We start from the raw sequence: 11,326 nt of genomic DNA on the forward strand, positions 1-11,326 counted from the left end.
TGAGTAGGATGTAACCACAGGAAGAACTGCCTGTTGGGCGACGGGGCCTGCAGGTGCCGAGACAGGGAGGCCAGTGGGATGGGACATACGACGGAGTCATCCAGTGTTCCCTGGGCCAGGAGAGGAAGGTGAAGAAAGGAAAGGAATAGGGAGGGAAAGCGGCAGAGAGGCAAAGCTGCCTGAGTGGGAAAGGCCTTGAGGGTCAAGCTGGGGAACTGGACCCCAGCCTGTGAAGTGGGGTCAAGCAAAAGCTCCCACAGGACAAGAACAGGTTATAGGGGTGGCCAAGGAGAAGCAGAGACTACCAACTTTCTAAAAAGGAGAGGAACTCTTAGCTTTTGGTGATGAGGCCAAGTAGAAAACTGGGCGTGGGGCTGCCACAGCTTCAAGAAGCCAGAAATCCAGTCTTTGTAGTCAAAATTCCTGAATGAAAATGTCACCATCAAATACAACGGGTGTTTTGGGTCTCCGGTTACACTCCCTCGGGCAGAGTTTTACATGATGCAGACCAAAATTAAGGCTGTTGGGGCAGACATGACTTGATAGAGGTTTATTGGAAGCCAAATGTGAGGATCAGCGCAGGAAGACACACTAACAAAGTCACTCCAAGAAAGCTGGGTGTGTTCCAGAGTCCGCTACAAGGTGGAGGCATGGGAAGCTTTTCTAAGAAGTTTTAGGGAAGCGGGGGGACTCCTCATACCAGAGTTGTCCTTTTGCATTAGAGGTGCAATACAGAGGTTACAATCGTGGGCTGCAGATGACAACATGCAGGCTAAATTTTTTTTTCTTTGAGACAGAGTCTCATTCTGTTGTCCAGGCTGGAGTTCAGTGCAATCTCAATCTCACTCACTGCAACCTCTGCCTCCCAGGTTCAAACAATCCTCCCACCTCAGCTTCCTGAGCAGCTGGGACTACAGGTGCACTCCACCATGCCCACCTAATTTTTGTATTTTTTTGGTAGAGACGGGGTTTCACCATTTGGCCAGGGTGGTCTCGAACTCCTGACCTCAAGCGATCCAACTGCCTCAGGCTTCAGAAGTGCTGGGTATGCGCCTCCGCGTGCCCAGCCTAAAACGTTCATGCAGGACAATCAGCAAAGCTTCGGGATTCAGAAACAGATCAGTGTCGTTTTCAGCGTCAGTAGGTTATGTATTAATCAGTATGTTAACAGTTTGAGGAACTCACAGAGGAGCTCACAGGAAGATTCTTTACTCTTCCTGTGACAGGATATAAGCCCCGAATCCTAAGACCTTCACCTTCCCTGGTGGTTAATTTGAAAGCCTGCCAAATGTATCCTGAAGGTTATCAATGGCAAGATCAAAGATGAGCATGGACCTGATGATAATAACGCTGGTGACTGGCATGGAGGTGGCATCAACCTAGGGAGGGCCTCAGCCAGCAAGCAGGAGCAGCCGGCCCACAGGGAGTGGGCTGCATTGTTCAGGTGGGCCTGAGAGGAAGAGGAGGGGAACTGGAAGAGAAGTAAGGTTGCCAGACAAAATGCAGAACACCCAGTTAAATGTGAATTTCAGATAACATTTTTTTTTTTTTTTGAAACAGAGTCTCACTCTGTCGCCCAGGCTGGAGTGCAGTGACGCGATCTTGGCTCACTGCAACCTCTGTCTCCCAGGTTCAAGCGATTCTCCTGCCTCAGCCTCCTGAGTAGCTGGGATTACCGGCACCCACCTCTACAGCCCAGCCAATTTTTCTATTTTTAATAGAGATGGGGTTTCACCTCATCTCTGCTAGCCTGTTGGCAAGGCTGGTCTTGAACTCCTGACCTCAAGTGATCCACCCACCCCTGCCTCCCAAAGTGCTGGGATTACAGCCGTGACCCATCGTGCCCGGCCAGATAACAAATTTTTAAGTGTAAACAATGGTATAAAAAAAAACCTGATTGTTGCTGGGTGCAGTGACTCACCTATAATATTACCCAGCACTTTGGGAAGCAGAGGTGGGAGGATTGCTTGAGGCCAGGGGTTCGAGACCAGCCTGGGTAACATGGGGAACTTTTCTCTACAAAAAATATAAAAATTAGCCGGGCAGAGGCTGAGGCGGGAGCATCGCTTGAACTCAGAAAGTTGAGGATGCAGTGAGCCCTGGTGGCGCCACTGCACTCCACTCCAGCCTGGGTGACAGAGCAAGACCCTGTCTCAAAAAGCAAACAAAGCCTGACGTGGTGGCTCATGCCTGTAATCCCACCACTTTGGGAGGCCGAGGCTGGTGGATCACCAGGTCAGGAGTTCAAGACCAGCCTGGCCAAGATGGCGAAACCCCGTCTCTACTAAAAATACAAAAATTAGCCAGGCGTGGTGGTGGGTGCCTGTAATCTCAGCTACTCGGGAGGCTGAGTCAGGAGAATTGCTTGAACCTGGGAGGTGGAGCTTGCAGTGAGCCGAGGTAGCGCCACTGCACTGCAGCCTGGGCGACGGAGTGAGACTCCGTCTCAAAAAAAAAAAAAAAAAAAAAGAAGAAGAAAAGTAAAGAAAAAGAGAACCTGGTTATCTGCAGTTGCAATTTACCTGAGTGTTCTGTATTTTTATTTGCTAAATCAGCAGACTCGACAAGGCACACTGAACAAGTGGACAGTGCGCCGGCGTGGAACATGGTAGGGCCAACAGTGTCTCCCGAGGGTACCTGGCCCCAGAAACCCAGACTGGCGGTCATCCTGCACAAAAGAGGCGGTTGAATCACCTGCAGCGCCTGGAGATGAGGAGGTAGGCGGGCGCCCGTCATTTCCCCGGGCCTCTCTTCCCCAGCACGGGCAAGCACTCGCCGCCCACGTCTTCTCCGTCCCTGCCCTGAAGGCAGCCAGCTCCGCGCTCCGCAGCGGCATCCCCGGGCCAGGATGGGGTGGACGGGGCGGGGCCCGTGCCTGGTTTCCTTCTCCCCCTCTGATGGCTCCCTCCAAGGGTCTTGCCGGTCCACCTCCTCCTTTACCTGCTCCCACATCTGGCAGCCCCTCCAGCCTTGACCTTGAGCCCTGTTCTCTGTTTTCTCCAGACCATCTCGTCCCGTCCCGGGGTTCAATATGCGGAGTACTTCAGCAGGGCATTTTTAAACCCTATTTCGACCTGTTTTACTGTGCATCCTCTCATGCTCGCCCCACTCTCCCCCATCTCCCTCCCCTCCCTTTCTCCTTTTCTCTCGTTTTTTTTTTTAAATTTTTTTATTTTTTTTTGAGACGGAGTCTGTGTCGCCAGGCGGGAGTGCAGTGGCGCAATCACAATCTTGGCTCACTGCAAGCTCCGCCTCCCGGGTTCAAGCGATTCTCCTGCCTCAGCCTCCCAAGTAGCTGGGACTACAGGCACGTGCCACCACGCCTGGCTAATTTTTGTATTTTTAGTAGAGACGGGGTTTCACCATGTTAGCCAGGATGGTCTCCATCTCTTGACCTCGTGATCCACCCGCCTCAGCCTCCCAAAGTGCTGGGATTACAGGTGTGAGCCACCGCGCCCGGCGCCTCCTCTCTCTATTGTTCACAAAACTGCTCAAAAATTTTTCTTGGATTCCCTAAGAAATGCATAGAAATGATCACTTTTCCACCCCACACCACAAAATAAAATTGACCACTGCTAAACCTGCACTGGGTAAAATTTATGATTAACTTTAAAATGACAGAAAAGCCAAATCTTCTTTAAATAACTTAGATCTGCAAAATCCTATCCAAGAGACTGGGGCTTGGTAGAAACAATGGCTGCAAAAGGAAATGCAAACAGATGATGAAGAAATCAATTTTGTTTAACAAATGAATCAGGCCGGGTGCGGTGGCTCACGCCTATAATCCCAGCACTTTGGGAGGCCGAGGTGGGTGGATCACCTGAGGTCAGGAGTTCAAGACTAGCCTGGCCAACATGGAGAAACCCCATCTCTACTAAGAATACAAAAATTAGCCAGGCGTGGTGGCAGGTGCCTGTAATCCCAGCTACTTGGGAGGCTGAAGCAGGAGAATTGCTTGAACCTGGGAGGCCGAGGTTGCCGTGAACTGAGATCACGCCACTGCATGCCAGCCTGGGCAACAGAGTGAAACTCATCTCAAAAAAGAAAAAAATTGAATCAAATTAAATTAAATTCAAATTAAAAATTGAATTAAATTGATACCAGTGAAAATAATTTCCACAAAATAAAATTTTTATGCAAAAAATAAGTGGTTTGACTGTGCCATATTTACTTTTTTTTTTTTTTTTTTTGAGACGGAGTCTCGCTCTGTCGCCCAGGCTGGAGTGCAATGGCGCGATTTCGGCTCACTGCAAGCTCTGCCTCCCAGGTTCACTCCATTCTCCTGCCTCAGCCTCCCGAGTAGCTGGGACTACAGGCGCCCACCACCACGCCTGGCTAATTTTTTTTTTCTATTTTTAGTAGAGACGGGGTTTCACCGTGTTAGCCAGGATGGTCTCAATCTCCTGACCTCGTGATCCGCCTGCCTCGGCCTCCCAAAGTGCTGGGATTATAGGCATGAGCCACCGTGCCCGGCCTTCTTTTTTTTTTTTTTTTGAGATGGAGTTTCGTTCTTGTTGCCCAGGCTGGAGTACAATGGAGCAATCTTGGCTCACCGCAACCTCCGCCTCCCGGGTTCAAGCGATTCTCCTGCCTCAGCCTCCCGAGTAGCTGGGATTACAGACATGCGCACACCCAGCTAATTTTGTATTTTTAGTAGAGATGGGGTTTCTCCATGTTGGTCAGGCTGGTTTTGAACCCCCGACCTCAGGTGATCTGCCCACCTTGACCCCTCAAAGTGCTGGGATTACAGGCATGAGCCACCGCGCCTGGCCCCGTACTTACATTTTATCAATCAATTAATTTACTTTAATGCCTCTTGTTCCAAGAATGCTTTATTGACAAAACAATCAGTGTTGGCAAATACTCTGATTAAAATATTCCTTTCTTTCCTTTCCTTTCTTTTCTGTCAGAGACAGGGTCTTGCTCTGTCGCCCATGCTGGAGCACAGTGGTGTGATCATAGCTGACTGCAGCCTTGATTTCCTGGGCTCAAGCTGTTCTGCCTCAGCCTCCCGGGTAGCTGGAATGATAGGCACACACAACCATGCCCAGCTATTTTTAAAAATTTTTGTAGAGACAGGGTTTCACTATGTTGCTCAGGCTATAATTAAAATAATTCGATTCAAGATAAGCACCAATCAAAGCAGGTTGAAAATGCCCCCATCTGTTGAAAACTCCCAATTTTATACATCACTACCTGAATTCCAGACTCAAATAACCAACTGCCCATGGGACATTCTCACTTGGAAGTCCCAAAACCTCATCAGACATATATGCCCAAAGGCAAACTGCTAACCTTTTTTTTTTTTGAGACAGAGTCTCACTCTGTTGTCACCCAGGCTGGAGTGCAGGGGCACAATCTGGGCCCACGGCAACCTCCGCCTCTCAGGTTCAAGAGATTCTTGTGCCTCAGCTGCCTAAGTAGCTAAGACTACAGGCAAGTGCCTGATTTTTGTATTTTTAGTAGAGACAGGGTTTCACCATGTTGGCCAAGCTGGTCTTTAACTCCTGACCTCAAATGATCCTCCTGCCTTGGCCTCCCAAAGTGCTGGGATTATAGGTGTGAGCCACTGCGCCCGGCCTGCTGACCCTTCTTTCATCAACTTGTCCTCCTTTTCAGACACCCTGTCTTCGACTGGGACCGTCCAGTTACTCATGCCAAAAACTCAGGGCACCCACCACCCTCACCTCTCTCACCCCCCAAACAAACCTAATGCCAAGTCCTATCAACTCAACAGCCAGGGTATCTCTCAAATCTGCTCTCTTTCCAGCTCTACTTCCAATGCCCTCATCCAAGCTCATGGTATCTTCTTCTTGCTCTCTGGACAACTAGTCTCCTCGAAACCACCGTTGTACCCTCTGATCCATCACCCACACTCATTGTTTAATAGTTTTAAAAAGTCGGTGGGCGTGGAAGCTCACATCTGTAATCCTAGCGCTTTGGGAGGCCGAGGTAGGAGAATTGCTTGAGGCCAGGAGTTTGAGACCAGCCTAAGCAACATAGTGAGACCCCATCTCTAAAAATTAAAAAAAAAAAAAAAAACTAAATTAAAATAAAAATAGTTTAAAAAGTAAACCAGGACCTCCCCTTTCAGTAAAGGCAGACTAGGTACTTCGGACAAAACCTCCTGATAAAAACAGCTACAAAAGTGTTTTAAAAATTTACACACACACACACACACACAATTTTTTTTTTTTTTTTTTTTTTAAGAGACAGGGTCTTGCTCTGCCACCTATGCTGGACTGCAGTCTCCTGATCATAGCTCACTGTAACCTCAAACTCCTGGGCTCATAAGATCCTCCTGCCTCAGCTAGGATTACAGGCACACATCACCATTCCCAGCTAATTTTTTATAATTTTTCTAGAGATGGGGTCTCGCCATATTGCCCAAGCTGGCCTTGAACTCCTGGCCTCAAGCCATCCTCCAGGTCAGCCTCCCAAAGTGCTGGGATTACAGGAATGAGCCACCATGTCCAGTTGACACACACAATCTTAAAAGCATCAAAGAGGCCAGGCATGGTAGCTCATGCCTGTAATCTCAGCACTTTGGGAGGCCAAGGTGGGCGGATCACCTGAGGTCAGGAGTTCGAGACCAGTCTGGCCAACATGGTGAAACCCTGTCTCTATTAAAAATACAAAAAAAATTAGCCGGGCATGGTGGCAGGCACTGGTAATCCCAGCTATTCCGGGGGTGCTGAGGCAGGAGAACAGCTTGAACCCGGGAGGCGGAGGTTGCAGTGAGCCAAGATCACTGAACTTCAGCCTGGGCGATAGAGTGAGACTCTGTCTCCAAAAAAAAAACAAAAACAAAAACAAAAGCTGGGTGTGATGGCTCATGCCTGTAGTCCCAGCACTTTGGGAGGCCGAGGTGGGTGGATCACCTGAGGTCAGGGGTTTGAGACCAGGCTGTCCAACATTGTGAAACCCATCTCTACTAAAAATACAAAAACTAGCCAGGCATGGTGGTGGGCACCTGTAATTCCAGCTATTCAGGAGGCTGAGGCAGGAAAATCACTTGAACCCAGGAGGCAGAGGTTGCAGCGAGCTGAGATTACACCATTGCACTCCAGCCTGGGTAACAAAAGCAAAACTCCATGTCAAAAAAAAGCATTAAAGAGCTAACAAAGTAGTGAAGAATTGCCATGCTGAATCTGAGAGAGAACAGGATTCCCAAGAGGTGACCCAGATACTTGAGGCTGCAGTTGCCCTGGAAGCTTTTGCCAATTGAAAAGAAGGGCTGAGAGGCTAAGCTCACTTTCAGTGGCTTTGCATGCCTGGAGATAAATATCTAAGTCTGGGGCCTGCCAAGAGTGTGGGTGATAAGCTGCCTCCCACACGCGAGTCAGCCCCCAAAGGACTGCATTTCAGAAGTAAAGGTGAACTGAAAGTAAAGCCGTCCTTACCTGAATGATAGTCCAGGTTTGAGTCACCCAGGTTCCCGAGAAAACACCATGCCCTAAGTATGAACTCCAATGATCTCAGTTTGCTGATCCCTCCAGGCACCTGGCAAAAGCAATAGAAAATTCTCTTTGGCCAGGCGCAGTGGCTCACGCCTGTAATCCCAGCATTTTGGGAGGCCAAGTTCGGAGGATCACTTGAGGTCAGGAATTTGAGACCAGCCTGGCCAACATGATGAAACCCCATCTCTACCAAAAATACAAACATTAGCTTGGTGTGGTGGTGGTCACCTGTAATCCCAGCTACTCAGGAGGCTGAGGCAGGAGAATCACTAGAACCCGGGAGTGGAAGGTTGCAGTGAACCGAGATTGCACCACTGCACTTCAGCCTGGGTGACAGAGTGAGACTCCATCCAAAAAAAAAAAGAAAGAGAGAAAGAAAGAAGGGAAGGAAGGAAGGAAAGACTCTTTGGTGAATGAGAAAATCACTCCATTTCAAATTAGTTCTACAAATAATTTCAGAAACACAATGTTTAACATACAAAAATAAAGACACATGAGGAAGCAAGATTCCTTGAGCTAAAATCATCAGAAATAACAGTCAATAGAAATAGAGCCAGAGGAACTCCAGACTATAAAACAAATTAGTAGTATTATGTTCAAGAAATTAAATGCCAAAATTGAAAATTTTAGCAAGGAACTGGAAGCTCTATAAATTATATAGCATATGTGAAAAAGAAATAAATAGAAAGTCAGCCAGGTGCAGTGGCTTGCACCTGTAACCCCAGCACTTTGGGAGGCCGAGGCAAGGGGATTACTTGAGGCCAGGAGTTCGAGACCAGCCTGGCCAACATGACAAAACCTCGTCTCTACTAAAAATATAAAAATTAGCTGGGCGTGGTGGTGTGCACCTGTAATCCCAGCTACTCGGGAGGCTGTGGCAGGAGAATTACTTGAACCCAGGAGGCCGAGGTTGCAATGAGCAGAGATTGTGCCACTGCACTCCAGCCTGGGTGACAGAGCAAGACTCAGTCTCAAAAAAAAAAAAAAAAAAAAAGTCTATGACTAAAAAATTCAAACTACAGGTAAGGCTCAGTGGCTCACGTCTGTAATCCCAGCATTTTGGGAGGCCAAGGCGGGTGGATCATGAGGTCAAGAGATCAAGACCATCCTGGCCAACATGGTGAAACCCCGTCTCTACTAAAAAAAAATACAAAAAATTAGCTGGGTGTGGTGGTGTGTGCCTGTAGTCCTAGCTACTTGGGAGGCTGAGGCAGGAGAATCACTTGAACCTGGGAGGCAGAAGTTGCAATGAGCCAAAATCACACCACTGCACTCCAGCTTGGTGACAGGACGAGACTCAGTCTCAAAAAAAAAAAAAAAAGAAAAAAGAAAAATTCAAACTAAAACTTCAAGCTCAATGGATGGGTTTAACAGCAGATTTGACGTGGATGAAAAATGAGTTAGAGAACTAGAAGGCAGGTCAGAAAAAACAATCCAGAAACAAGCATAGAGAGACACAAGGATGTGAAATGCAGAAGGGAAGACTACAGATATGGAAGTTACAGTGAGACTGTCTTACATATGTTTAATTGCAGTCTCAGAAGAAGGGGAGAAAGAGGACCCAGACCCCCAGACCAGACAGTATATTAAATTGTGGTTGAGAATTTTCCTGAATGGATGGAAGACATCAATCTATAGGTTTAAGAACTCCAATAGATGCCAAGCAGAATTTTAAAAAAGAAATTCACAGCCGGGCACGGTGGCTCACGCCTGTGATCCCAGCACTTTGGGAGGCTGAGACGGGCGGATCACGAGGTCAGGAGATTGAGACCATCCTGGCTAACATGGTGAAACGCCGTCTCTAATAAAAATACAAAAAATTAGCCGGGCGTGGTGGCGGATGCCTGTAGTCCCAGCTACTTGGGAGGCTGAGGCAGGAGAATGGCGTGAACCTGGGAGGCAGAGCTTGCAGTGAGTGGAGATCACGCCACTGCACTCCAGCCTGGGGGACAGAGCGAGACTCCATCTCAAAAAAAAAAAAAAAAAGAAATTCACACTTGACCCATCATGGTGAAAATGTAGGAAATCAAAGACAACAAGAAAATCATAAAAACATAGATAATAGTGCTGGTTATTTACCTCTGGTTTCTGGTCTACGCTCACCCTTCTATAATCTGCTCTGAGATGCTGGGGCTAGGGTCTGCAAGCCACATTTTTCAGCTCCCTTGCCAGCTGACTTCCTGTTAGCTTCTGCCAATGAGAGGCACTAAAGGCAGCTTAGCAGGTGGGAGAGGGGATTCCTTCCTGTCTCAGACAAAAATAGACTCAGTTAAAAAAAAAAACAAAAACTAGAGGCAAAGCACATCACTATATAATAATAAAGGTTTAATTTCCCAGGATGGCATAGTATTTCTAACTTTCAGTCACCTGTTAACGTGGCCTCAAAATACACAAATGAAGTAAAATTTTTTTTTTTTTTTTTTTTTTGAGATGCAATCTTGCTCTGTTGCCCAGGCTGGAGTGCAGTGGTACAATCTCGGCTCACAGCAATCTCCACCTCCCATGTTCAAGTGATTCTCCTGCCTCAGCCTCCTGAGTAGCTGGGATTACAGATGTGAGCCACCACAGCCAGCTAATTTTTGTATTTTTCATAGAGACGGGGTTTCACCATGTTGGCCAGTCTGGTCTCGAACTCCCAACCTCAAGTGATCTGTCTGCCTCAGCCTCCCAAAGTGCTGGGATTACAGGTGTGAGCCACTGTGCCCAGCCTCAAATGAAGTAAAATTTCTGAATGTCCTGATGTTAAAATGGTTGGGAAGCCTGGGTGCAGTGGCTCACGCCTGTAATCCCAGCACTTTGGGAGGCCGAGGCGGGCGGATCACCTGAGGTCAGGAGTTCGAGACCAGCCTCAACATGGAGAAACCCCGTCTCTACTAAAAATACAAAATTAGCCGGGCGTGGTGGTGCATGCCTGTAATCCCAGCTACTCGGGAGGCTGAGGCAAGAGAATTGCTTGAACCTGGGAGGCGGAGGTTGTGGTGAGCCGAGATTGCTCCATTGCACTCCAACCTGGGCAACAAGAGCGAAACTCCATCTCAAAAAAAAGGTTGGGAAGCGCTGACTCACAGTATGTTCCATGAGGCCTGTGCTCTAGAGAAAAATTACCCTAGGTAAGGACAATAGAGATGCAGCAAGTGTAAAGGCCCTGCGGTGGGCCAGTGTGACTGGAGCTTGAATAACGGGACAGTGGGAGAAGATGAGGTCAGAGTCAGGATGGAGCCACGGCAGCTATGACCTGATAGGACATGGTAAAGAGGGGGCTGCGGGAAGCCACTGGAAACAATGAAGCAGAGAAGGAACATGACCAGATTCAAGGCTTAGAAAGCCACTTCGGCTGCTGTGTAGAGAATGGACTAGGTGGAGTGAGACAGGAAGCAAGGAGGCAAGCTGGGTGGTTCCTGCAGGAAGCCAGGTGGGAGGGGGCAGGCGCTTGCACTGAGGGCTGCAGAGACAAAAGAAGTGGAGGGATGTGAGACATATCTGGAGAGAGAATCTATAGAGTTTGTTCATGAATGGGATGGGAGGGGTGTGATACGAGGCGAGGGAAGAAATTGAGGCTACTAGCGGGTTTGGGCTTCCGCTATGGAGTGGATGGTCGTAGCACAGACTGCAGTGAGGAAGACAGGTTCGAAGAGGGAAATCAAGCATCTTGTTCAGGACCTATGAAGTTGTGGAGCCCAGCCAACATCCAAGTGGGGACAGCCCATAGGTGGTATTTGTTGACTGCGTAAGTGAGCTCAGTTCTTCTGGTGGGGAACACGGTCTGTAGTAAGGCGGAGTATTGAGTTTTAGACAACTCTGCCGAAACCCCTTAGGTGGAGAAGACTTCGGCTGCCCTGGGCCTTGCACCCACTGGTTCTGGATGT

General features: G+C 48.3%; 1 long non-coding RNA gene across 1 annotated transcript; it reads right to left on the minus strand.

The window, feature by feature from the left end:
- Positions 1–4,814: 4,814 nt before the first annotated feature.
- Positions 4,815–9,704, minus strand: LOC105377754 (uncharacterized). Its single transcript, XR_941302.3, has 3 exons — positions 9,540–9,704; positions 7,404–7,503; positions 4,815–5,019 (listed from the first exon to the last, which is right to left on the minus strand). It is a non-coding gene; the product is annotated as an uncharacterized LOC105377754 (long non-coding RNA).
- Between the last annotated feature and the right edge of the window lie 1,622 nt (positions 9,705–11,326).

Source organism: Homo sapiens, chromosome 5, assembly GCF_000001405.40.
Source record: "Homo sapiens chromosome 5, GRCh38.p14 Primary Assembly".
In the NCBI taxonomy this organism is placed as follows: domain Eukaryota; kingdom Metazoa; phylum Chordata; class Mammalia; order Primates; family Hominidae; genus Homo; species Homo sapiens.